This window comes from Homo sapiens, chromosome 16 (assembly GCF_000001405.40).
Source record: "Homo sapiens chromosome 16, GRCh38.p14 Primary Assembly".
In the NCBI taxonomy this organism is placed as follows: Eukaryota; Metazoa; Chordata; class Mammalia; order Primates; family Hominidae; genus Homo; species Homo sapiens.
In genome coordinates, this window is record NC_000016.10 from 82,752,119 (window position 1) to 82,778,889 (window position 26,771).

Here is a 26,771-nt window from a genome sequence, read left to right on the forward strand (position 1 = left end):
TACCATAAGCTAACAAGGCAGGCCTGGGACAATCAATACATGAGCCTCCTTTCCACCAAATTCTCTTCTCATTATGTAAATAGGATGGCCTGAGGTGCAAGAACAATGAATAGAATAATAATCGGAAATGTAATGGAACTAATAGTGGATTTCTCCGGACTGTTAACTTCTGTTCAAAGAGCCCGCCAATGATGGATAGAGAGCGGCGTGCAGAAAGGAATCTTTCCCTGGTTCAGCTTGGGTGCACTGCCTTGTGCTGACTCTGTCCCCTCCCCTACCCACCACACCCCATGTGTCTAGAACAATCTCCTCTGCAGTACTTCATTTCCTAAATGAATTAGTCCAGAGCCCTGTTTTGAACAGATGCCTGTACAGTTCTTGATTGGTTGAGGCAAGTCTAAACTGACATAAGCCCTAACTCTGAAACATGTGACTTTTTACTTTGAAAATGTCCAATTCTCAGTTGTGAGCTATTCATGTGCAAGTAACAAACACCTACTCAAACAAGCTTAAGAAAAGCAGGGAATTCCTGGGAGGATGCAGGAGCAGGAAATTGAGCCAGTCGTTCCAAAGGGCCAGAACCAGAAGGCAGACCACTGGGTCCCAGACAGATGGGTCATCTCTTTCCACTGTGATTCAAGCCCTGATTTGTGGCCTTTGCCTATTTTCATGATATCAATACCTCCACCGTGGCTGATTGCAAGCTACCAATGACGTATCATAGAATGTGGCACTGGGGAGGGATGTGCAGCCGCACCCCATTATTGTACCCCATTATGTAGTACTTCTGCCATGCAGATATAATAGATAAATAATCTTAAAAGCATAGATAACAGTCAAATACATTTGTAAAAGAGTTAAGAAGTGATGCATTTTGAGTATTCATTGCCTTTGCTTTTAAGATTATTGAATCATGAGTGCATGTAATGTCTAATAACATCAATGTTTAACTGGCTTAGAAAAATCCTGAAATTTCAAAAGTGACCTCTTACAAACAGTACGTGTCAGCTCCTACTTATTATTCCTCCTCATGAGTCCATGGAAACAGCCTCTCTGGGAAGAAGGCAGAGAGCAGGAGACAGGTCGTGGTACAGAAGGAAGTGACTGGCAGAAGTACATGGATGGCATCTCAGTTCAATCTCTCTTTATTATTTTGGCATAATTCAAAGTTCATATCTCACTTCATCTCAAAAACAATATGCATATCTGTCCTTGGCTTCATTTTCCTCCTACCTCTTCAGACATCTCTTCTCTGGCTCTTCCCCTTAACCCCTAACTGGGGGCTTTCTACCCTGTCTTTGCACACCATTTATCCTCTCTATAATGACAACTCCTAAATCTAAGAAATGGGCACATTTCCCCTGCTAAGCTACAGACCTGTGTATTTACGTACTTCCTAGATATTGCCCCATGCATGGCCCACCATCACCTTAAATTCAAGATATCCAAAACAATTCTCCATCAAAAAAAAATTCTTTATAGCCAAATGGAAGTGTGCTGTAATGAGAGGCATGGACTTTGATTCTAGTGCCAAATTGTAGGTCTTAATGAGCTTGCTGACTGTGAGCACGTCACTGATTCTCCCTCATCTCAGAGTTTTGCCATCTCATAAACAGGCTTGACCTCGATTAATGGGTTTTACTCCACAATCCATGGGGCCCTTTATTCTGTGGGTCCACCTCAGAAGCTGTCCAAACATCAAGAGAGAAGTGGCCTTGGTCCAGTCCTGGGCACCCCATCTCCCATCACCAAGGGCCATCTGTCTTTCATCTTTTCATATGTTAAAGTTCCATGAACTATTTCTTCTCTGAAGTAGTCATCCACTAATTCATTGATTCACTGTGAATCATGAATAAGATCATGATCACTCAGGAACCCTCTAGGTCTAGCATTCCGTGATTCTTCGGTTAGTGCTCACGCTTCTGGAATGAAAAGTACAAAGGTACAGGGGCAGCAGCTGGAGATGACAGCACAGTCTGTTGCCATGTGTAGTTCATGGCGCAGGGTCAGGGCAGAAACTCCTTAATATTAAACTTAGTGTACAGTAACTCTAATGCCTGATATTTGATTTGCATTAAGCACTGACAAGAACCTTTCATGTCTATTTCTGCCCTGGGGTCCTAAAACATAAATTTTAACATTCCTTGCTTCTCCTTGATGATCATTCCCACATAGAAATGGAACTGCATTAATAATGATTGTTGAAAAAATGAATAAATGATTGTTGAATGAATAACCGAATGAATGCCACCAGGGAAAATTATTGTCTCCATTTCATTTTAGGGCCTGAACTTTAGGAGAATAAAGTTATCCTAAAGAGAGCTGTTGGAACCTGCCTTTCTAACCAGCTTCCTATTTTCTAGAAAAGGGGTCACTGTTTGTAGGAATTGTCTAGGATTCCTGAGAACTGCCATCAAACATTCATTTTGCTTTTCCTATTGCTAAGCATTATCAGACAGAGACACAGCTTCTACACAAAGGAAGATGGTAGGGCATTGTCTGTTCAGGGCTGCTAGATCAATATTATAGTTTTATTTATCTATTAATTTATTTGGATTTCTAAGCAGCTCTACCTTTTGTTACGATGATTATATGGCAAAATGCAAAACAACTTGACAGGACTTTGCTATCTAGACTTTTGATAATGATCTCTAAAAGCCAACTCATTTCATTTGCGTCCTTTTATGAATAATACAAAAAAATCCAAACCTTAACTAGTGTTTGTCACAGTCAGTGGGTACTTCATGAGCCAAGAGTGCATAGAAAGGTATTTTTGGTTCATTACTAGGTTTCTATAATTGACCTGACATTTTGTGAGAGCAATCATGTTTGTTAAGGAGAAACTCAAGCCAATGCTGTAGTTGCAAAGTTCTCCTTACTATTACCCTGGGAAACAAATTCATCAGAAGTGTGCAGATGTGTTTTATGTGTGCGTACACACATACATCCCTATGCATACACAAGCATGTACACACATTGGCATGGGTCGACCTGATAAAATATATGCAGTGTTCTCTTTGTCCAAATCCAGCTGGTCATCTAGGGACTGTATAGAAAATTTGCCAGTGCCTGCAGCCCTACTCCATGTTTCCCTTTTTCTCTGCAGCTTGAGCCTCACCTTAAGGCCTAAGTGAGATATGCATTCTGTCCCAAATGATGGCTCATGGGGACAGAACATTTCTGAGTCTTCCTTTCTGACCCTCTAGTTATATGGCAGTGATTGCACTGAGGGAAAACCAGGAAATAACAAAGGAAACTGCTTAAGCAAGTTGTGTTTGGGAAGATTAGAAAAGGGAGTGCACAGGAGGATGAAGCTGAAGTCTCTGAGGAGGTAATCTTGTTCAAATAATAGCTTTTCTTGTAACCATATTTTGTCAAATTGGTTATTTCTGATGATGTATCCCCAATTTTCTGAAATGTTTTAAAACTTACATTGTAGCTTTCTCTCATTTCCTTATTCCTATGTTCTCATTCTGGTCCATCATCTGTTCATTTATTCAGTCCATTCTTTGTGTATTCATTCAATTATTCTTTCAAGTGACATTTACTGATAATTAAAACTGTTAAAATCACTGACGTCAAGGTCTATGAGCAAAACTGAACCAAACCAAAACAAGAACTAAACTAGAATCCGTTGTGGCGGGATTGACCACTAGGTGGTATGTCCATTCTTTGGCCTTACTGGGGATTTAGGCATTTGTTTTGGTTATGTGCCTTGTTAAATATTCATCATGTCAAAATGGTGGTAGTAACATGAACACAATCAAGAAAATATGAAGAGAGTGATATAAATTATATTTGGAGCTCAGAGAGGGGCCAGGAAGACTTTACATGTTGGATTGCTTCTGCCTTAGGCAGAAAAGAAGTTGCAGAGCGTTCTAGGAGGAGTGAAATACTTGAGTAGGGGCTGGGAAGCAATAAAGCAAGTGGTATTTTCAAGTTTATGCATCCACAAGATCAGTGTTCAATATTTAAAATGTTCAATGTGTAAACTCTATCATGGAAAGATTTTTGAGGAAGTAGCTTGTAAAAAGTTGCATATTTCTATTTGTTGCTAGGGTTACCTAACCAACAGGTTCTTGGCTAAGCAAAAAACTACAGTCTGTAAATTAGATATTCTGGAATAAAAAATTTGGGGAAAGAGGAAAAGGACTCATGCTCCCAAGAAGGCCAAGTGAAAAGTGATATCCTTCTGATAGGGAAAGAAGTCATGAGTCATTAGTCTGGACTGCTATAGTAATGATAATAATAGTAAGAATAATAATAGCCACCATTTGTGGATCACTTACTGCAAACCAGGAACTGTGTTAAATCCTTCTCATGTGCAAGCTGCTCCTTTAACCTGCGTGGCAACCCGGGGTGACTAGCTGTTAGTATAGCAGTTCCTTGCCCAAGTTTCTCAGTATCTTTCAGCCTCAGTTTCCTGTTGGGCAAAATAGAGATTACGGGACAGTGGGAACATTAAATGAGGCTATGCTTGTTATGTGGTTAGCATGGTGTCAAGCAGGGAGTAACAGGTCAGTGAGAATTATAGTATTAGCTACTATTAGCATTTCTCCTTCCTCGTTAGTATTTTTCCTTCCCTGAGGAGGAAACAGAGAATTAGGAGGACCAAGCTGAATATAAGCAGTACCTGAGAGCATTCTTGGAAGATTATGCTTTCGTGAGCTCCTCTTAGAACTGAAAATTGATGATGAGAGAGACAGACTGTCACCAATGCATGACTATCACCTTGTCATTATTAAAGCACTTTCCACTAGTTTATATTATTTTATTCTCATAAGCTCTGTGAGGGCCAGGATTTGGGTCTTCTCTTGTCCCTTGCTACATCCTCATCTATATCAGTGGCTGGCACATTATCTTTGTTGACGACTGACCTTTCCTTTTCCTCTTTCTTTGCCTGGCAAACTGTTACTTGCCCATCAGGATCCATGGGGACATTGACGCTCCTCCATCACTCTCACCTCCAGTCCTCTCTTCCCACACAACTCTTAGTTCATACAGTGGTCACAGTACCTCCATGCTGTATTGTATCCTATCTACTCTCCTGTTTGTCTCTTGCTGCAGACTCCTCTAAGGCAGGGACCACTTTTCACCACCTTTCCATGCCCCTGGATCCTTGTTCAGATTTGGCTTGATGTACGCACTTTGAAGATACTTGAATGAGTGACCACAAATATCTTCATTTGCATCTGAACAATTTTCTTGATATTTGAACTTCTTACCCAAACCCCCAAGTCCAAAGGCCCTTGTCTTGAGCTTACAGGTTTTCAAAGAATGCTTTACCTGGGTATAGGGCAGCTCTCACATGCCTGGGAGGAAGCCTTGGAGCAAAAACAAATCGATGGCTCTGAAAGAATTATGTCAACATTTAATTGCAAGAGATAGCTGCTCTGCCCAGAGGGCTTCCGGAACACCTTAGCTTTTGGTTTAAAGCTCAATTTTAGGTAACTGATCAGGTAGAAGCTAGTTTGACTACCGCAGCTTGCAAATGCAAGCTTTGGTAATAACGCCATAGCTTTTTTTTTGTTTTTTTTTTTTTTGGGGACAGAGTCTCTCTCTGTCTCCAGGCTGGAGCGCAGTGGTGCGATCTTGGTTCACTGCAACCTCTGCAGCGGATTCAAGCGATTATCCTGGCTCAGCTTTCGGAGTAGCTGGGACTATAGGCGTGTGCCACCACGCCCAGCTAGGCCAGCTAATTTTTGTATTTTTAGTAGAGACAGAGTTTCACCACGTTACACAAGATGGTCTCGATTTCTTGACCTCGTGATCCGCCCGCCTCGGCCTCCCAAAGTGCTGAGATTACAGGCGTGAGTCACCGCACCTGGCCGCCACAGCTTCTTAAAATGTCACTATCAATCCATTCTGAGGCTAGAAATCTCTCTGGCAAGTGTGTGAATGCAAAGGTAATGGCTTTACCTTTCAGGTTAGTTGTAGATAATCTCATCTTTGTTCATGACCGGTGAGTGCCAAGCCCCCAGCATTGAGTATGTAGTCTCCAAGGGACATTTTCCTTGGACCAATTGGGAAAAGACCTGGTCAAAATTGAGGAATGGGCAATACTCACCTGGTATTTTGAGCTATAATTTGGTTCTTTGAGCTATGAGAAAAAAAAGGGACACGGGCTATGTTGAAGTAACAGGAATTTGAGAAGTAAGGGTGATGAGAATCTCAGAAAACTTGCAACAGCTGGACATCCAGGTCTCCTGGAAATGGGAAGTTGATTGAGGAACTGGAGGGAAAGTTAAGGTCCTAACTTTAGTGATTGGGTTTCTGTGTCACCACCTTGGCCCAGGAGACTGTTGATACCCCCCCCCCTTTGCTTTGTCTCCCCATTTCTTTTAGTGTCTCTTTCCAGCTGAGCAGTCTTCTGACTCCCACTAGTTCAAGTTTCTGAGGGAGAAGCTGATTGAGCGGAGCTGTGCATTAGACAGCTTATAGATGGGTGCTCTTAGGTCACATGTTCCCAGTGAGCCAATCAGCAGCCTCTAGAGGAGAGGTCACGCGGCACAGAATATGGCCGCCTATGCTTAAGGCATTACAGAGGGCATCTTCCTCTGGAGGGGTAGTAAATGTAGGCACTTTCTTCTAAATGGGCTATGGGTGTAACAGGCATTAGGCTGCTTCTATTTTATCAGAGGATGGGGCCATGATTAGCCCAATGAACATTTACTAATCATTGAAATTTAAGCATGGCAGCCTGGTGTGTAACCATTGTTTGAGTTAGCATACTTCAGTTTTCCCCTGTTGATTTAGTCTCATGTAAATCTCTGAAGCCTCGGCCAGTCTTTTCTTAAATACACGTAACAGCTACCATAATTCTCTTTCTGCTAGTCCTTTGGTCCACCTAAGTTCACCTAGTCAAGGTAGACAGTCTGCAGCCACTATCCTTCTTCACTTTCTAAGGGCTTTCTCAGCATTGGGGGCTTATTAAGCAGCAAGCAAGTCAGTCCTGTAAATGTGGGGAAGCTGGCTCCCTGGGGTCTCTCTTAACTGTTGAGAGTCAGTGGATAAATGGCCCGGCTTCCTGTGAGACAATTGTGAGTCAGGTTCCACACAGCTCCTTAGAGTGTCCCCACTGGGAGTGAGCAGAAACCTGATTTTTAATATAAACTTTATTTGTGTATCTCCCTTCTCTGCCTCATTTTTCACACCTCCTCACTTGTACTTCCCAAATATATTCTCTGCTCCAAAATCCTTGCCTCAGGCTTTGCTTTTGGGATTATTCAAACTGAGACAATAAAATACTACACCCATTTTAGGGAAGATCAGGAGCTAACAGTGTAGGGACCAATGCATTATGGTCTTCATCTAAATGAAGTCTGTTTCTAATATACTGAATGTTTCTGTAAGGCAAAAACTCATAGGTAATTGGTTAAATAGGGGATTGTATATTAATATGTAGTAATATATACATATATGTATATGTATAATATAACATGAATATAATATACATATGTATACACATATATAATATATATGTATAATATAACATAAAAATGACTTTGGTCCATATGCAGTATTCCATAGAAAATTGATATTTTGCCTTAACAAGAAGCGGCAATTAAAGGAATGTATACTAATATAGCTGAATGCAGCACACCTCAAAAGAATAGAGAATGGTCTATAGAATTCAAATAGGTTCTGCCTCTTGACTCACTTGCCAAATCCTCTGTCTTAGAAGTGCTTATTGAGTAATTCTCCCCTATCCTGACGCACTGCGCCTCTGTTGCCATAATTCAGCAGATTCACCCTTTCCTTATAACCCGTCTACCAAGCCCCAATCCACATTTTTTAAAGGGAAAGCCTTATATTTACTGTAAGTTTTCATTTATCAACAATTTATGTCTTCTCAAACACACCAGGTTTAAAAATTATGATTATAATTATTATTTGCAATAATTATGTGATTACAAAGTTGCAAAGATCTGGAGCATTCTACTCTAATCTTGTCTTTTCCAAAATCCTTATGATTTTATTGCACAATTTTCCTAAGCATAGAGTTTTTCTGGAACACAAATATTTTCCAGAACACCTATTTCAGGGCTGCTCCACACATAGGCATATCTGTGCCAGTTAGACATAAGCACCCGGCTCATTGCGGGTACTTACTGAGGGGGTAGAAGGAACATAGTACCGCCCCCGCAAAAATGCAATTAGCCTGTTATCAAAATAACAGGGAGAGATGAATTCTTATCTTTTTGCTGGAAGGTCGGAAGAGGCATTGGGCTTAGGAAGTGGCCACATCATAGTCATTTGATACACTGTCATTTGCATCTAGTGTAAAATTCACCATTGTTTATCTTATGATTTTATGAGTAGAGACCAACTGAAAAATTTTGTACTTTTATTAATATTATGGCATTACAACACCTTACTTTAGGAGATTCATAGTTTGGACCCTGTTTACAAAAATGTACCAGTTATATGGTATTTATTGAGTGTCTTTACTGCATACTAGGAATCATACAAGAGGGAAACAGAAGTTATTTCTATATGACTCTGATAGCACCTGTATTTGTCCCTTTTGTGTTGCTATAAAGGAATACCTGAGGCCGCGTAATATTTACAGAAACGAGGTTTATTTGGCTTACGGTTCTGCAGGCTGTACAAGAAGCATGGTGCCAGCATCTGTTTCTGGTGAGGGCCTCAGGCAGTTTACAATCATGGTGTAAGGTGAAGGGGGAGCAGGCATGTCACATGGTGAGAGAGAGAGCAAGAGAGAGGAGGAAGTGCCAGGCCCTTTTCAACAATCAGATCTTGCAGTAACTAATAGAGGGAGAACTCACTCATGATCGCAGGGTTGGCAGGAAGCCATTCAGGAGGGATCTACCCCCATAAGCCAAATATCTCCCACCAGCCTCCACCTCCAACTCTGGGGTTCACATTTCTTTCTTTCTTTTTTTTTTTTTTTTTTTTTTTTTTTTTGGAGTCTCACTCTGTCACCCAGACTGGAGTGCAGTGGCATGATCTTAGCTCACTGCAACCTCTGCCTTCCAGGTTCAAGTGAATCTCCTGCCTCATCCTCCCAAGTAACTGGGAGTACAGGCATGTGCTACCACACCTGGCCAATTTTTGTATTTTTGACGGGGTTTCACCATATTGGCCAGGCTGGTCTTGAACTCCTGACCTCAGGTGATCTGCCCTCCTCGGCCTCCCAAAGTGCTGGGATTACAGACGTGAGCCGCCATGCCCGGCACATTTCAACACATGAGATTTGGAGGTGACAAATATCCAAATCATGTCACAACCAGTAGGATAAATACTACTTATTTTTCATTCCTCAGATGAGAACATTTAGTCACAGAGTGTGGGGCAGCCAGCCAACTTCTGATGTTCAGAGTCAGTGCTGTCTAAACTTAGCTTTCATGTTCTTTCTACCTCAGAAGGCTACTTCTCAATCAATTATTTGGGATCAGTTGGTTTCATCACATGGCATTGCATCATGAATATGCTGAACAAGGCCAAGGGAAGGCAACAATTAACTGGCAGTTTGTAGGCTTGTGATTAGATATAATTAAAAGTCACATAAAGTTCCAAAAAATATTTTTCACTTGTTTCATATCTCAACAACTTCCACTTGTTTAAGTTAGTGTTTTTCCAAGTTGCATTGTGATGAGGAGAATTTGACATATTTTTGAGGGCTAAGAGTGAGAATGATTCAAAGCTGTGAGATTTGAAGTGATGTCTAAAAGATTTTTTTATCATGACTTATGATTTTTTATACACACACACAGACACATACACACACATCCTAGTAGGAAAAATATCAAAATATAATAACTTTAGATAATAAGAAAAATGGTTTCTGTTTACACTGAGTTTTCACAGGTGAGATATGCATTAAAGGCACAAAAGCTAAAAGACAAAGAGAAATGGCAATTTAAGCACTTGAAAGCCTTGCTGAATTTTTTACAGACTGTGTCAAGTGGAGCTGGAAAGTGAAACCACAAATCGGAAGCTAGAAAGGAAGCAGCTAGGCAAGAGAGAGTACCTTGGACTGCTGGCTGCAGTCCCCTTCTTTTCCCCCAAGTGACCTGCACATCGGACTTCACCCTGCTACTCTCTCTTCCCAAAGATGAAATGAAGAGGTTGAATGTAATGATTACTAAGATTCTCTTTCTGCTCCCACGATGATCTGATGCTGAGGATTTTTAAGACTTCTGTGCCGTTAGAATTGATTACTTCTAAATTGTTATCTACTATTCATAAAAAGAAAATTATTCAAGCTTGTACTTCTTGGCACAAAATATACCTGTGATTTTCTAAAATATTATCTCTTAATGCACAAAGTTCTCAAGTGCTGTAGCTAAAGGGAGCTACCACAGAGTATTAATAGAAAATGTATGTGAGAGGATGTTATTTAATAAACCCCTAAGTCAGTAATTCTAATGATTCAAAATGACTTTAACTTTCTACTAATTAGAAGCCAGACTCTCAGCTTTGCTTCTTGATCTGCACTTCTCCCCATCTTGGTGTTCTTGGTGATGGTCATGTTCCTGGCTGGGTCACTGCTTCCATGACTGTTTATTAAAATCCCCTGGCCAAACAGTGGGCGTACTGGACTTCCTGGAGGGGTTCCCTGGAATGCCTTGAGCAAAACTTGGGTGCCAAAAGCAAAGACCTGCTGTGTTGGAGAAAGAGGAAGAGAAGAGTTCTGCTGTCTTTGCATGTGTTTGGAAATGTCTTTCTCATCAACAGATTCTCATGCTTGGGGATGCCAGGGGTGGTTTGGGTGGGCACTCTCTTCATTAATAGCCATTATTGTGGAGTCCTTAAAGTGGATTAATGATGTTTTTTAGGAAAGATAATTATCTCCTATGCTTTCCGGGAGGTACATGAACTGCTCTAAGATTGCAAGTACAAAACAGGACATTCGTGGTGCTACTGTGTGAAAAAATAACCAGCAGTACCTTGACATTTATAGATTTTATATAAGCATGTGAGTATGGACCTTGGGCCTCACCAGCCCCAGAACACCCCAGGCGTCCTTGTACCGCAGGGCCTTTGTATGTGCTGCTCTTGCTGCTTGACCTGCCCCACCCAGTATCTGTAAGCCTTGCTCTTTCTTTCAATTAGAATCTTTACTTAAACATCCTCTTTTTGCACAGGTTACCCTACATAAATCAACGTGCCTCCTGTCTCCTATCACTCTCTGTCCCTTTATCCTGCTTTGCTTTTTCTTCACAGCACTTATTTCCTGACACAGTAAATCATTTATAAGTTGCTTATTTTCCACCTCCTCCTCTGGAATACATGCTCTGTGAATACAGGCTCTCTGCTTGTCTTGGTCTCTGTTTAATTCCTAATCCTGGCAGAGCACCTGTGACATAGTGAACACTCAACAACTGTTTGCTGAATGAAAGAAAAAATGAAAAGGTTCACATGGAGATGAGAGCCACTGGCCAACAATTTCAGTCAAAACATATTATTTACTTAAAAATGCAATGTCTGCATATATTTGACAATGATAATTTATTGAAAACAACAACAGTGAATACATGAGTTGATATCTGTCTTTTCAATAGATATATAATGAGCCTCTGGATTTTATTTTTATTTTTATTACTCACGTATTTTTTGAAACAGAGTCTCACTATTATCACCCAGGCTGGAGCACAGTGTGCGATCACAGCTCACTGCAGCCTCCTCTGCCCAGGCTCAGGTGATCCTCCCACCTCAGCCTCCCCAGTAGCTGGGACTATAGGTGCACACCACCACGCCCAGGTAATTTTTTGTAGATAGGGTTTTGCCATGTTGTCCAAGCTGGTCTTGAACTCCTGGGCTCAAGCAATCCATCTTCCTTGGCCTCCAAAAGTGCTGGGATTACGGGTGTGAGCCACTGTGCCTGGCCATCCCTGGATTTGAAAAGGAAAGGGGTAGAGTGACAAGGACTGGTTGCATCTCACATTCCAAACTGCTTGTTTTAGTATGCGCTAATGCATCAACCTTTTATTACTGCCCAGACCGTAGACCTGGCTTGTTCCTTTTCACATGTTATTCTCACCAGAAGCTACAAAGTAGGTGTTATTTGTATTATTATTGCTGTTGTTGTTGTTAGAATACATATTCCTCATTTACAGACAAGTACACAGGCTAAGCATGACTGCAACTTTTGAATTGTCATGCAGCTCAGAACTGGGGGATCTAGAAACTGAATTCAGCAGCTGATTATTTGGTTCCCAATACCATGGTCTTGCTACTTACCTACTAGAAAGGATTCTCATTTGTCTATTTAAGTTCTTCTCCTCTACTCTCTGAGGAGGATTCTTTCAGCTCTTAGTGAAATAAAACTAGAAATGGAAAGGGAAGTCTCAAATCTATGTTCAGAAGAGGGAAGAGGTTTAACCTGGGGGTGGGAGGGAAGCAGATAGATGTGCTAGCAGAGCAAGCAGTTTGAGATCTAATATACAGCCTTAGTGGGATTAAAAATATGAGGTATAATTTGTGTTCATTTATTCTACAGATGTATTTTGAGAACATAGTGAAGGCATGATGCCTGGCCCACAGTAGGTGCTCAATAAACGTGTGTTGAATAATACATGAAGGACACGAATAAATGTGTGTTGAATAATGAATGAAAGACACAAATTCAGGAGGTAATTTTGTTTGCTGGTTTGTGTCCCTTTATCTCTTTATCTTGTGATGTGGAACCACACTCACAGAGTCCCTTCATCTTCATTCATTTCATTCATTCTTTTTTTTTTTTTTTTGAGATGGAGTTTCACTCTTGTCATCCAGTCTGGAGTGCAATGTTGTAATCTTGGCTCACTGAAACCTCTGCCTCCCAGGTTCAAGCGATTCTCCTGCCTCAGCCTCCCGAGTAGCTGAAACTACAGACGTGTGCCACTATGCCTGGCTAATTTCTTGTATTTTTAGTAGAAACAGGGTTTCACCATGTTGGCCAGGCAGGTCTCAAACTCCTGACCTCAGATGATCTGCCTACCTTGGCCTCCCAAAGTGCACTGCCTTCATTCATTCTTAAATCATTCATTTCTTTGTGGAAGCCCCTTAGCTCCATGTAGTTTATGGATGTGTCAGAACAAACTGAATATTGTTTATTCTTTTACTTTTTAAAGAGATGAGTATTTGAGTCCTCTGATTCACAGTGAATTTCAGAATTCTATCAGCTAAATACCTCTTGAAGCTCCGATTACCAAGACTATAAGCCCTTCTACAGCATTAAGGGATTGCTCGTAAAGATACTGCTATTATGCATCTGGTGTAAAGCCTCCTCATCTTTAGCTCAATTCAACAAGTTTCCATTCAGTGCCCAGCTCTAAAAGTCTTAAATGGAAATTGATTCCCTACTCCTTCTATTTTAACTGTCAAAATCATAGACTGCATTGTTTCCAACTGAAAATCCGCTGACAGCTCCCCACCAACCACCCCGTGAGCCTTCCTAGGGCTGGCGTTGATGATGCTGCTATCAATGGGGAATCTACATTGTGCACGGGTATTTATGATGAGAAAATCATGTGGCATAAAAGAGAATAATTGCCTTCATAAGTGTATAATTTTTTATACTATAAGCTTCTCAATGAAAAAGCATTCTAAGGGAGGCATAATTGCTAATTTTCGGTGTTAAACATACCTCTGAAGAGTATTTCACAGTCTAACTCTCTGAGTGTCATGTCTTCCTGTGGCCCGGGGAAGAGAGTGGGAAGGAAATAAAATTTCATTGAGCATCTACATAGGACCAGGCCCTGTAAGTTCTTGGATATTGGTTTCTTCTTATAATGACTTGAGAATTACATGGAATTATCCCCATTATATGAGAAGACAGAGTCTCACAGGAGTTAAATCACTTCTCATAAAATCATCTCTCATAGTTATGTGAGTTCAGAATGCACGTCTATGCTACCCCAAAGTCCAAGCTTAATAGAGAAATCTACAGCAACTCTTTATATTCTGGAGAGGTTTTATTACTAAGCTTAAGAATTGAGGTGCCCTAAGAACGGGCTGCCCCCAAAATATTTTCCTCACCACCTCACTTCTGTTTCCAGAAGCCCAACATGAAAATCACTCTTCTGAAATAAGTCCTGGAGTCTTCTTTAGGCTTCTGCTAAAAAGTCTTATTCGTGAGATGTCTAGCGTAACTTCTTTTTTTAAGTCAAGGAAAATGTGTAGAATTTAGGTCAAGATGCACTGAGAATAATTTGCAAAACCCGTAAATCCGTAGCTGATATATTTAACACCAGGTCCAAACTGTTTCTGAAGGATTGAATCTCTTGCCTGAATACTGAAGAAAATGGAGGCATGATCTGAGGTTGGGGAATATTCTACCTTGCCAAGGATAACTGTAGAGTATTGTGACAAAGTGCAAAGATGCCACATGGATTCTGGATCAGTCAGACCTGGGTTGGAATCCTGATTCTGCCAGTACACCTTTCTGCCTGGTTAGCTTGGAACAAAGCAGTTAATCTATTGAGCTTCATTATCTCTCTCCTGAGGCTCTTGTGAGGACTAAATGAGACAATACCTAATGCTTCATACAGAGACAGTGGTCACTCTATCATAATAATAGGAGCCCTCATTGTTTATGTCTTTACCATATATCATTATCCAATATATTCCTTTATATCATTATCCAAATAAATACATCTGATCAAATCCCCCAAATTGCTTTCTTCTCAGCATTCCTCGGTGCAAAATATGAGATGTCCTTTGACTATATAATATAAAATATACTATAACATATAATATTGACCTTATATTGAAGATGTATTTGTACCCGACATACAATATTTTTAGAAATAATGTTTCATTATAAAATTTTTTACACGTACAGAAAAGTTTAATTTTGCAGTGAGCACTCATGTACCCACCACCTAGATTCTACCGTTACCATTTAATCCACGCATTTTACCACCTATCTTTCCTTCTGTGTGTCTCCCGTCCATCCACTAATCTACCTCATGTTTTCGATTGGACACATTTCAAAATAAATTGTAGATATGCTCTCCCTCTAAATACTTCAGCATGCATATTTTTCAGTAGAGTTCAATATTTGCTTACATATTGTTTCTCTTTTGATGTAAAATTTACACACAGTGAAATGCATAAATCTTAAGTGTGTATTCTGAGTTCTAACAAATACACACATCTGTGTAACCCAAAGCATTGCCAAAATGCAGAATTACTGCAGAAAGTTCCCTCAAGCCTCTTCCGAGTCAATTCTGACTCCTACCACAGCAAAAGTAACCATTGCTCTGATTGTTTTCTATCTTGGATTAGTTTTATCTGTTCTAGAACTTGATATAAATAGAATCATGCAGCACATACTCTTTTATGTAAGGCTTCCTTGACTCAACATGTTGTTTTTAGGATCCTTGCATGTTGTTGCACCGATGTGCTTTCTGAATCGGGAAAAACAAATATTTTTGTGTTTGTAGAAGTCTAGCTTACCCTGATGCCAGATTTAAATTCCCTGTGCCAAACACATTGTGTGCTCCTGGTCCCTGCCCCCTTTAACTTCCCCAGCATAGTGCCTTTGTTCATGTTCTTTCTTTCCATCACTCCCTGGACTCTGGCTGTTCATATTCTGCCCTTCCTCTGGAGATCAGCTCCAATCCCAAACTTTTCCAAAGTCTGCATTGACTCCCTTGGGTTTCTGCCTGAGCTCTCTCTCCTTTGGACACTGGACTGCCATCCCATTAACTGTTGATGTTGTCATCAGTGATCAGCTCCTGGTCATAAACTAAGGAAGAGTTAGGTGGGAGCACTGGCACTGAGGGTCCATGTGCTCACTTAGCTTTCCAGGGAGGGGCTAGACCACAGGTACTCTTCACCCCACGAGCCAAAAGGAGTGGATCTAGAGTGACCATTGCAAGGCCTCAAAGAGAAACGAAGAGTGAGGAGTGATGGGGAAAGAGCCAAGGGGACCATCCCTGAGTCATGGGCGTGCCTTGGGTTGAGGCTAAAGGTTCAAGAGGGAGGAGTAAAGAAGGGAAGGAAACTGTCAGGAGTGATTGCTGTCATGTGGAAGAAGCCTAAACATGAAGTCATGAGAGACGCACCTTGTGGCTGGTGGGAATGCTACACAATCATGCAACATGTGCCTAATTTTCTCAACTAAATTGCAAGCTGATGTCTTACTATTGACAGGAATAAAGTTTCATAAGGTGTTCCCTGCAGTGGCCTGACTGTGCAAGGTGCTGATAGATACCTGCTAGTTGATAATGATGCCTCTCACATGGCCAGTCATTTTAGCAATTAGTTTCATTGATATTGTGGGACTGGGCTTATTGGAGATTTGACTGAATTGACCATTTCAGCCACTACAGCCTTTGCAGAATTTGTGTCTGTCAACCTGGCCTTCCCAAGGAAATGGAGGTTAGGCAATAAGGAATGTGTTCATTTTATTGCCATTTTACTACCACAGCATGGTAGATTCCAGCTATTAATCCTCATGGTATAAGGTGCTTTTTATATCTTCAAAAATAGGGTATAGCCTTGATCTCTCTTCTTGCTGCTCTGGAATTAAAATAGAAATCTTTATCCCTATCTCAAAATCTTTGGGGCAGGTTAGGAGAGCTGGGCTTCAGGATCATCCAGCCTAGTGCTTAGGTCTGTTTACAGCTCAGCAACATTTCCATTGGTTGAGGGATATTGTTCAGCAGCCACTGAACATCAGGCTCTGACCTCTTGTTTCTTTGCTGTCTAACCCAGCAGACCATCCTCGGTTAATACTTACTCTGATTCAGCCTAGCAAAGAAGATCAGAAGCAATTCTGTGTCCGCAGGCTCCCTTTCACACCTTTAATATTTTGTATTTTGCAAACATTTTGAGTTAGTTAGCAGGTCTCTTGCTTTCTCTTGAGGGCTGGGCACAAATGTTCAAGAATAATCATTGTAATGGCATCTCTCTGATTAAAAAGACAGCTGGCAAGATTGAGATAGAACATCAAATTCTGAAACATCATTAGCAGGATTCTATTTTGGTTAGGTATAATCTTCTGTGAGGTCATCATGTTGTCTTCGATGAGTCTAACCATTTTATATCATTTAGATCTAAACAGACCCATCATGTCACAGGCAAATGGCTTTATCATATTTAATTAACCCAACACCATGTAATAATCTCCCTGGTAATTATCCCTCACTAGTGCTTGAAAGCGTGCTGCAACAAATAAATCATCAAAGTTGCAGGTATACTTAAACTGTTATTTGGTGCCGTGGCAGAAGAATATTGACAAGTCACAGTGCAATCCTAATTATACTAAGAAAATGTAAATGGCTTCATCAAAAAAAGAAAGAGCCAGATGGCAGGTTTTATATACTGTATCCTCCTGTGTTAGAAAATGGGGTATTAAAAAGGCTTCATGCCCTCAGCATCAGGGAAGAAGAAGAAATAAAGGCTGATACCTCTGTCTTTATGGAGGCCACGTTGAACCTCTAATTCTGGAGAATGGTAACATTGAAGAGGACATTAGTGGCCATTGACGTTTATGTCTCCTGATGCCACCCTACATATAAGTGAATGAATATTACCAGGATGAATGCTACTTTTCTTATGATAGGAATTGATTGAGGAGGATAGGAGCAATTCCATGATGCCCTAGATTTTACTTTATGTTTGCAAATGACAAATTATTCACAGAAAGACATGTGCCCACCAGGTGGTGAATCAATGTGTTTCCATTGACCTGGCTTTTCTAATGCATCAGCAAGAACACATTTACCGGAATGCATTGCAATTAAAAAGCAAAATTCAGTTGGAAACAATGGACTTAAACCTACGAAATGTGACAGGATAAGTCAGAGAGGAAATTTGATTTCAATGGTGAGATTAACGAGCCCATGAATGCATGGTGCATACGGCACAGACAAAGATAACTGAATTGGATTTTCAATAAGCATAGAGTTCTAGATTTCCCTGTTCTTGAATTGTGTACCGTACCACCCAGCTGCTGTCCCCAGCTAATTTTGCCAGAGCTGGATGTCAGCCAAAGCACAACTGTCTATGGCTTGGGAAGTTCTCCTTTGAGTCAGATTATTTAGTTAGCTCAGGCTGGTAACTGCCACAGAACCTGGCTGTGATTTGGTCTTATTAGAAAACAAATTTGGAAAGTATTAGAGAATAGTGTTCGAATAGTAATGTTTTCCCTTGCTTTCCTTAATATTTCCTTTGTGTGAGTGTGTGTTTTTGTGCACATTGCACTGTTGTTACCCAACCAATCAGAAATTCTGTTTATTATAAAAGTAATTCTCCTTAATTAGAGAAAATTTGGAACGTAAAAAAGGAAAAGGAAGAAAATTGCTCAAAGTTTGCAGTCCAATTATAATGGTTCTTGACCGTTTAGTTATTTAGTCTTTTTCCTTTATGCATACATTTTGAAATTGTTGGTTTAGTTTTTTTATAGTTTGACTCATCAAAAATCATATATTCACTATCCTGCTTAAAAAATCATCATAAGTTTAATCTATATAGTTACATATTCAATCATTATGCTTTGAGTTATATTGACATTCCATAGACAGATGTCATTTCATGATTTTTAAGCAGTCAATTTTCAATTACTGCATAATATTCTTCCATTTGGAGATACATATTTTAGTTCAGTATTATTGTGGCACACTTATTTTCTATATTTCCTTTTTTTCTGGAGACAGAGTCTCAGTCTGTTGCCCAAGCTGGAGTGCAGTGGCGTGATCTCGGCTCACTGCAACCTCCGCCTCCCAAGTTCAAGCAATTCGCCTGCCTCAGCCTCCCGAGTAGCTGGGACTAAAAGCGCACACTGCCATGCCCGGCTAATGTTTTGTATTTTAGTAGAGATGGGGTTTCACCACATTGCCCAGGCTGGTCTTGAACTACTAAGCTCTGAGCTCAGGCAATCCCCCCGCTTCGGCCTCCCAAAGTGCTAGGATTACAGCCGTGAGCCAACACACCTGGCCCAATAGTTCCAATTTTTTATGTGTATATTTTTAAAAAATTAAGTTGTGACTTTAGCGTGAATTGAAATTTGTTTGACTATACTTCATAAACCCTTTTATATTGTTTTATAATTTTTTGCAAACATAATTTTTAACAATGCATAACTTGTTTATCACAAGTCAGACCCAGAATATTTAGCTCTTCCTTTGTGTTCATTCACTGAAATCAAGGTGCTTTCCAGTTTTTTACAATGATAAATAATACTTTGACTTATCAATTAATTAAAATGTGTTATATGTCAATTATATACAGAGCACTGGGCTAAACTGGTTATCTGTGTACATAAACTTTCCAAGTTTGGGATTGTCTGCTTAGAAAGGATATATTAAATTGGTACCATTGGACCCAATATGACTGGTGTTTGTAAGGGTCTAGGTAGAGGCTGCTTGATAGCATTTGTAAAGGGCAATTAATCTATTCTGCCGTCAGCATTACAGCTCGCTTCACCACACCTGTGCACTCAACGACTCTTCCTCCCCGAAAGTGGAGACAGTGAGGCAAAGGACATGGAGAAACGGAGGCTCGGAGAGTTTCAGTAACTTTCCCCAGTCCACCAGCTTGTATCGGAATTGGGATTTGAGCTCAGGTCTGTCCAGCTTTAGAATGCAAACTCTTAAGTGCTGCCTTAAGTTTGCTTCCCCAGAAGAAGGTCCTGGGATGAGAATTTGTGTTAAAGTGATGTATCGGAAAGGTTGCTAGGAAAAACGTATAGGGAAGTGGGAACTGAGTTTGGCAAGAGGGAGACTGAGCAAGGGTGTCATCTCAAGCGAAGTTCCATTGAGATAACTTTGGCCTCATCTTCCAGGGAGACTGGGAATGATGTGATTTGCACTTCAGTGCTGGCCCCTTTGGGGCAAGGCAACTTGAGTATTTATAACTCTTGACCCACAAGTCCTTGGTTAAAGGCTGCTGGGATAGTGGGCAGGCAGGGGCACAAGTTGTCAGATGCTTCTGTACTTCATGTGTTACAGACAAAGCAGATCCACTAGATGCAGCCTTTTGGAAAAAGACACAGATGCCCTTGATGTGCTGGTGTCGGTTAGCAATGGCTTGGAAGAGCTGGATGTTAAATTGTTAGGAATTTTGCAATCTGGTTGACCCCACTGACAGCTTGAAATCAGCCATGGTGAGAGTATCTACACCATGGAAATTGGCCAACATTACAAATTAGGGCTCCCTTCCCTCCACCCAGAAGTGTTCAGTAAATATTTACTGGCATACTACCGGAGCTGCTGGCCTTTGGGAATGGAAGCATACTGGGGGTCCGTGTGCACTAAAATGGCAAAGAAAATCTAGGGGATGTGGATGGTGCAGGGACAGCATCTACTGCAGCACTCATGTATACCAGCTGCAATATGGTAGGAAACCTGCCCCTGCCCACACAGGCTAGGCAGAGGTGTGTGAGAAAAAGGGAACTGGTGAGAGGGAGGGGAACATGCTGGATTTCAGAGCAAGGTCTCTCAACCTGAGGTGGCCTGGGTATGAGACATGCTACGCAGAAAAAAACCTAGAAATAACTGAGATTAAAATAGCTAACTAAGCTACTGAATACTTGCACTGCCAGGCACTGAGCTAGATGCTTTACTTTGGCTAATCTTCATAGGAGCCCTAGGAGGTAGATTTCATCATCATCATCCTCACTCTAACTATTATTATCATCTTTGTCATCCTTCTTCTACAGATGATAAAATTGAGATTTAGAGAAGTAAAGTAATATGTCTAACATCATAGTGGGATGGCTGAGCTCTGAACCCATTCAATCTGACTCCAAATGCAAAGATTGAATAACTTTGACAGAATAGGTCCCACTTCCTATGGACTGAGTACACATGGTTGTGGGGGCATAGGTTGCTTCAGTGGCCATCAGGATGACCTGGGAGTAACCTAATTTTACGTGATTATAGGCTTAACCATCTGGTTATCAGGAAAAAAAACCATGTAGAGAGCGCACGAGAGCCCAGAATCAGTAGCTGGGCCTCCTGGTGTGGAAAGGATAGAACTCAAATCTCATCGAGGGATGGAAGTCTGGATACACTCCTTTCATCTCTCAGAATCAGCTCCAGGCTGGCCCAAAACAAATGATACAGAGGCTGAGAAAGGCAGAGCAAACCTGGGACATGGGGCTGAGCCAGCAGAATCATTAGCAGTCAGGCTGTGTGAATTTTTTTGTGGTAAGAGAGATAAATGTCCCTCTTGTTCTTTGTGGTTTCCTTTGCCATAAGAGCCACTGCTTTGTGAAAGTTCTTCTTTCCTTTCTCTGGCTTGCCCATCCCTGGATTGATGTAGTAGCCAGCAGCAAGGACATATGAAGGGTCTGGAAGTGGAAGGCTGCCACCCCTGCCCTGCTCCCACTTCTGGGCCCCCAGGGATCCCCTGACATAAACAGTCCTGCAGGAGGAAATAATAGGTGGACTTGTCCCTGTGACACAGTGGAGGTAGGTCTGGAAGTTTCCTTTGAACATTAGGTAGGTCTCAGCTTTGTATTTCAGGTGCTTTTATCATGTGTTTTATCCTGTAACAGTACATTCTAGAGCTACCTTTCAAGTGTCATCAATCTCCAATTCATTTTATATTTTCCTCTATGTATGTACATTTGTATGTATGTGTGTTCAGTTACCATTATGAAGTAACTGACCTGAAGCAAACTGAAAATAAATCTTGCCTTATGTTGCCAACATTGCATTTTTTTTTCTTTTTCTTAATTTATCTGTGAATATTGTTTTTCTTCTTCTTCTTCTTTTTTTTTTTAAATGGAGTTTCACACTGTCACCCAGGCTGGAGTGCAATTGCGCGATCTCAGCTCACTGCAACCTCCGCCTCCCGGGTTCAAGCAATTCTCCTGCTTCAGCCTCCCAAGTAGCTGGGATTACAGCCACCCACCACCACCCCTGGCTGATTTTTTGTGTTTTTGGGAGAGACAGGGTTTCACTATGTTGGCCAGGCTGGTCTCAATCTCCTGACCTCGTGATCCACCTGCCTTGGCCTCCCAAAGTGCTGGGACTACAGGAGTAAGACACCGTGCCCGGCCAGTATTGTTCTTCTTTATACCTAATTACTCATCATTGGAATTCTCTTTAAAAAAAAAATGTGCTTCCCTAATTGGTTGCCAACAGAGAGGCTACATCATAGTGGTTAAGAATATAGGCTCTTTTCCCTTGACTGAAGCAGTGATTAAAACAAAAAAATAAGAAAGAATATAGGCTCTGGTGTCATACTGCCTGGGTTGGAGACCCAGCTCTTCAATTTACATCTGTATGACTTCAGTTCATTTTTTTTTTTTTTTCATTTCTACATGGCTTGGTTTCCCCATCTGTAAATTGTGGATACTTACACTAGCTATCTCATAGGTTATTGTGAGAAATAAGTGAGTCTGTATGTATGAAGCCCATAGAAATATACATAACATAGAGGAAGCACTACCTAGTGTCAGGGTCTACCACTGTGTATTCTTTAGGAGGTTTCAATCTTGACCTTCAGAAAAAGAATTATTTCATTCAACAAGCATTTATTGAAAATTTCCTTGGTGCTCATCTCTGTGCCATGTCCTTTCATATAGATTTTATCTGACATAACTTAATTCTTACCATCACCCTGTGTTAAAGTTATGGTGTTCATTTTCTAGGGTTTAAGTTCTGGAAATGCTGTGTGCTCACTGTATCCACCAGGATAGGTGAGGCTCTGCTGCATTCATGAACAGTCACAGATCTCAGAGCCTGTGAGCGGGTTTAATTCTCCTTCATGAGAAGCCCCCTGGTCAGGGTGTGTTCCTGCACCTGGTGGGGCAGCATGGTGGGCTATCCCCTCCTATGGCTCCTCTGTTACCAAACAAGCTCTTCCTATAGCTGCAGCTGAGGAATAAAAATGCTGGAGAATCTTGGCGGTTAAATGCTTTGACTTGGAAATAAAATGGATCAGTTCTACCTGCAGCCCAGGAGCAAGATTGGGTTGCAGACTCTACCTAATGGCCCTAGAGACTGTAATCCTCCCACGTGCTGGAAGGAGAGTAGAATAGGGTATGGTGAACAGGAGATGTCTCTACCACTCACTTGGGACTGTGAGCACCTGTCTATACCTCGGCTGTCTTATCTGTGAAATGAGGATGACAGCTGTACCTACTGCATATAGTTGTGATAGAGTGAATAGATAAATGCATGTAAAGCTCTTAGCACACTATATGGCACTCAGAACATAGTCAAAATGGGGTCACTGTAATCATGATATACAAGAAAGTCAGCGGAGCCTCCTAATACAGTAAAGTAACCATTGTTTTGAATAGTCACGTGTGGATATCAAGTCCAGTTATATTACTTACCAGCTGTATGTATGAGCATGGGGAAGTTATTTACCTTCTCTGACTTTTACTTTTCTCTTACGTAAAATGGTGTGGGATCACACTCACCCCATAGGCTGCATCAAGGGTTAAATCGCTAACATTTACTGACACCTTGGAAAGATGAGCTAAGCGTTTAAAACCTGTTGGCTCATTTATGTCTATGTCAATGCTATGGGAAAGGTACTCTGTTATCCCCCATTTTATAGCAGAGGAAACTAAGCCTCAGAGAGGTTAAGTAATGTACCCAGGCCTCTCTAACTGCTAAGTGGTAGAGCAAAAAGTGAAACCCAGGCATTTTGTCTTCTCAATTAATGATCTTAATACGCATTACAGCCTCCCTGAGATCAGTTGGGTAAAGCTCTGAGCACAGGGCCAGGCACAGTGTACACCCTTGCAAAAATATTAATTTGCCTGGGTGCAAGGTGAGGGACATATCCTTTTCCTATTCTGAAACTCTACTCTGCTTAGGATGCATACTGATGGCTCTTTTTTTGTGAATGGATGGAAGTATGAAAGGAGCAGTAAGAAAGGGCACTATCAGGCTGCATGCAGTGGCTCACATCTGGAATCCCAGCACTTTGGAAAGCTGAGGCCAGCAGATCACTTGAGGCCAGGAGTTCAAGACCAGTCTGGCCAATGTGGCAAAACACTCTCTCTCCTAAAAATACAAAAATTAGCTGAGGACAGTGGTGCATGCCTATAATCCCAGCTACTTGGGTGGGTGAGGCATGAGAATCGCTTGAACCCAGGAGGCAGAGGTTGCAGTGAGCCGTGATTGTGCCACTGCATTCCAGCTTGGGTAACAGAGCAAGACTGTTGAAGAAAGGAAGGAAGGGATGAAGGAAGGAAGGAAGGGATTAAGGGAGGGAGGGAGGGAGGAGAGGGAAGAAAAAGAAGGAAGGAAGGAAAGAAGGAGAGAAAAGAGAAAAGAAAAGAAAAGGCACTATCTATGCCATATGCTTTTGTGAGACTATCAAGGCCTGCATGCAAAAAAACCCAGTGCAGAGTTGGTGGTCAATTAGCTGGAGTGCTTTATTATTTTTAATAATCAGCCATGCTTAGTGGGAGTCTCTGAATCTGTAGTTATGACTGTAGTAAATGGGACACAAAGGGAGCAGCTGGACATACCGGCAAGTATTATAATGTGCAGACAACCTGCAAATATGAACCTTCTTTTCAAATAAGAATCTCAGTGCTGTCACTATTTGTTTTAGGAAGTGCTGGTTTTAACTGAATGAGGAAGTTAAACGCATGTTCTGTTTTTTGTTTTCATTGCGCCCACATGGGTTGACTGTGGGTTCGGTTTTCTCTCCAGATTGAACACTTAGTACTTAATGGGGGAACCACCTTGGAAAAGCAGAACTGATTTGAGGTGGCTTCATCCCTCTCTTCTCCCACCAGAAAGAGATGGGAGCTTCCACTTCAACCTGGGGTGAAGACAGAGAACAAGGTGTCCCAGCATTTTGCACAGAACCAAAGCCCTGGAAATTCTGGTGGAAGCTAGACATTCAGAGTCATCAAGCTAACAGTCACTTCCTGCTATGTGCCAGATACTATGCTTTTCACAGACATCTCATTTACATTTCCCAGAACATCAGGTTGGAGTGCAGTGACGTGATGCAATCATAGTTTCCTGCAGCCTTGAACTTCTGAGTTCAAATGATCCTTCTGCCTCAGCCTCCCAGGTAGCTAGGACTACAGACATACACTACCACACCTGGCTGAGTTTGTTTGTTTGTTTGTGTGTTTGTTTGTTTATTTTGTAGCAATAGCATTTCACTGTGTTACCCAGAGTGGTCTCCAACTCCTGGCCTCAAGCAATCCTCTCGCCTCCACTTTCCAAAGTGCTAGGATTACAGGCACGAGCCACTGTGCCCAAAAGTTAAGATTCTTGTAGCTGCTTTATAGAAGATGAACTGAGGATCAAGAAGGTGAGACTTGATGTGAGTCAGATAGTGAATATGCTATAGAAAACTAAACCCAGTTCCTTTGGGGACTTGGAATTTGGCATCAATATTGTCACCGGGCTTTAATTTTGCTTAACTCCACACTGTGGTCTTTGTGAATGGTGCCTCCAAGAGTTGTGCCCCTGGGTGGGCCTGAGCTGAAACATCAGGTAGATGCAATAGGCCTTGTCTTTTGTGACAGTTCTGTACCATCGTCTATAATATATCTGTATTAGTAATCTATGGTTATACAACAAATCACCCCAAAACTTAGCAGCTTAAAACCATATTTATTATTCCACAATTTCTGTGCAGCAAGAATATGGGTGCAGCTTAGCTGGGTCTTTGGGCCATAATCAAGGCTAAAATCAAGGTGTCAACTGAGGCAGCAGTCATCCTAAGACTTGACTGGGCATGGGTTGGCTCCTGAGCTCATTCATGGGATTGCTGGCAGGATTCTGCTTTTTCAGGCTGCTGGACTGAGGGCTTTGCTTCCTTGCTGGCTATTGGATGGAAGAACCCTTTAATTCCTTGCCTTTTGGACAGCTCCAGAGGGAAGCTCACAACAGGACAACTTGATTCGTCAGAGAAAATAGGTGAGAAGAGCCAGAAAGCCAGAGGGCCAAGAAAACAGAAGCCACAGTTTTTGATAACAGTCATAGAAGAGATGCCCTGACACTTTTGTTGCCTTCTATGCTTTAGAAGCGAGTCAGTAAGTCCACCCCACCCTCAGTGGAGGGGATTACACAAGGACATGCATATGAGGAGGCAGGGTTCACTGGGAGCCAGCCACTGCCTACTACAAGAACCGTGATTATTTTAACGCAAAATGATGGGTCAAATTCCTTTTATTGGGTAGAATTGTCCCTCCAGAAAAATCTCTTTTGTCTTGAATATTCATGCATGCTCTGGTACCTCTCTTTCTGTGATAAGGACGTTCCAGTTTGAAAAACCTGAGTTTATTAGTCAAATTGTGCTGGTGTAGAAATATTCCCTCTCTTTCAAATAACTTTGCATCCACCTGCTTTGACTCATGATGTTGAATCTAATTTTATTACAGAGTTTTGGATGGTGGGGGCATTTCCACGTTGCTGCTATGTACTTTCTATACAAATAAGTGTTGACCTTTGAAGTAGTCTCCCTGGAATAGAAGGTTTTAAACTCATTGATGATGCAAACTTTGCTTAAGACCTTGTTGTAGCTTCTCTTTGGGAATGGCCTTTGGAATCACGACCAGAAAAAAAAAAAAAAAAAAAAAAAGGTCTGCTTTATCTATTCTCACTACACAGCATTTATTAGATATGGCTGCCAGGGAGATATCTCCTTCCTCACTGATTGTTATTCTATGCATTTTCTTCCTAAAACTAGTAGATTTGAACTCATACCTATCTAGAGCCCTCATTATGAACAACAGCTTTAAAGCACGCAAGGCACTAGGAACCCCTATTTAATCATTTACAGAAAAAACATGGCAAAGACCACCACCTCCTTCCTTAATTCCATGGTGGATTTAAAATGCTTAGATTAGCTGAGTCTTAGGAACTGAAGTATCCTTG

At 41.3% G+C, this 26,771-nt stretch overlaps 1 protein-coding gene and 1 long non-coding RNA gene across 9 annotated transcripts in view; both read left to right on the top strand.

Annotated features, from left to right (window-relative positions):
- The window catches only part of CDH13 (cadherin 13), a 1,173,672-nt gene that overhangs the window by 125,150 nt on the left and 1,021,751 nt on the right, over positions 1-26,771 (top strand). The gene's annotated exons all lie outside the window — the stretch shown is intronic.
- The window catches only part of LOC101928446 (uncharacterized), a 56,320-nt gene continuing 50,749 nt past the window's right edge, over positions 21,201-26,771 (top strand). Inside the window, exon 1 of the long non-coding RNA NR_110938.1 lies at positions 21,201-21,371. This is a non-coding gene — a long non-coding RNA (uncharacterized LOC101928446). The remainder of the gene's footprint in view (positions 21,372-26,771) is intronic.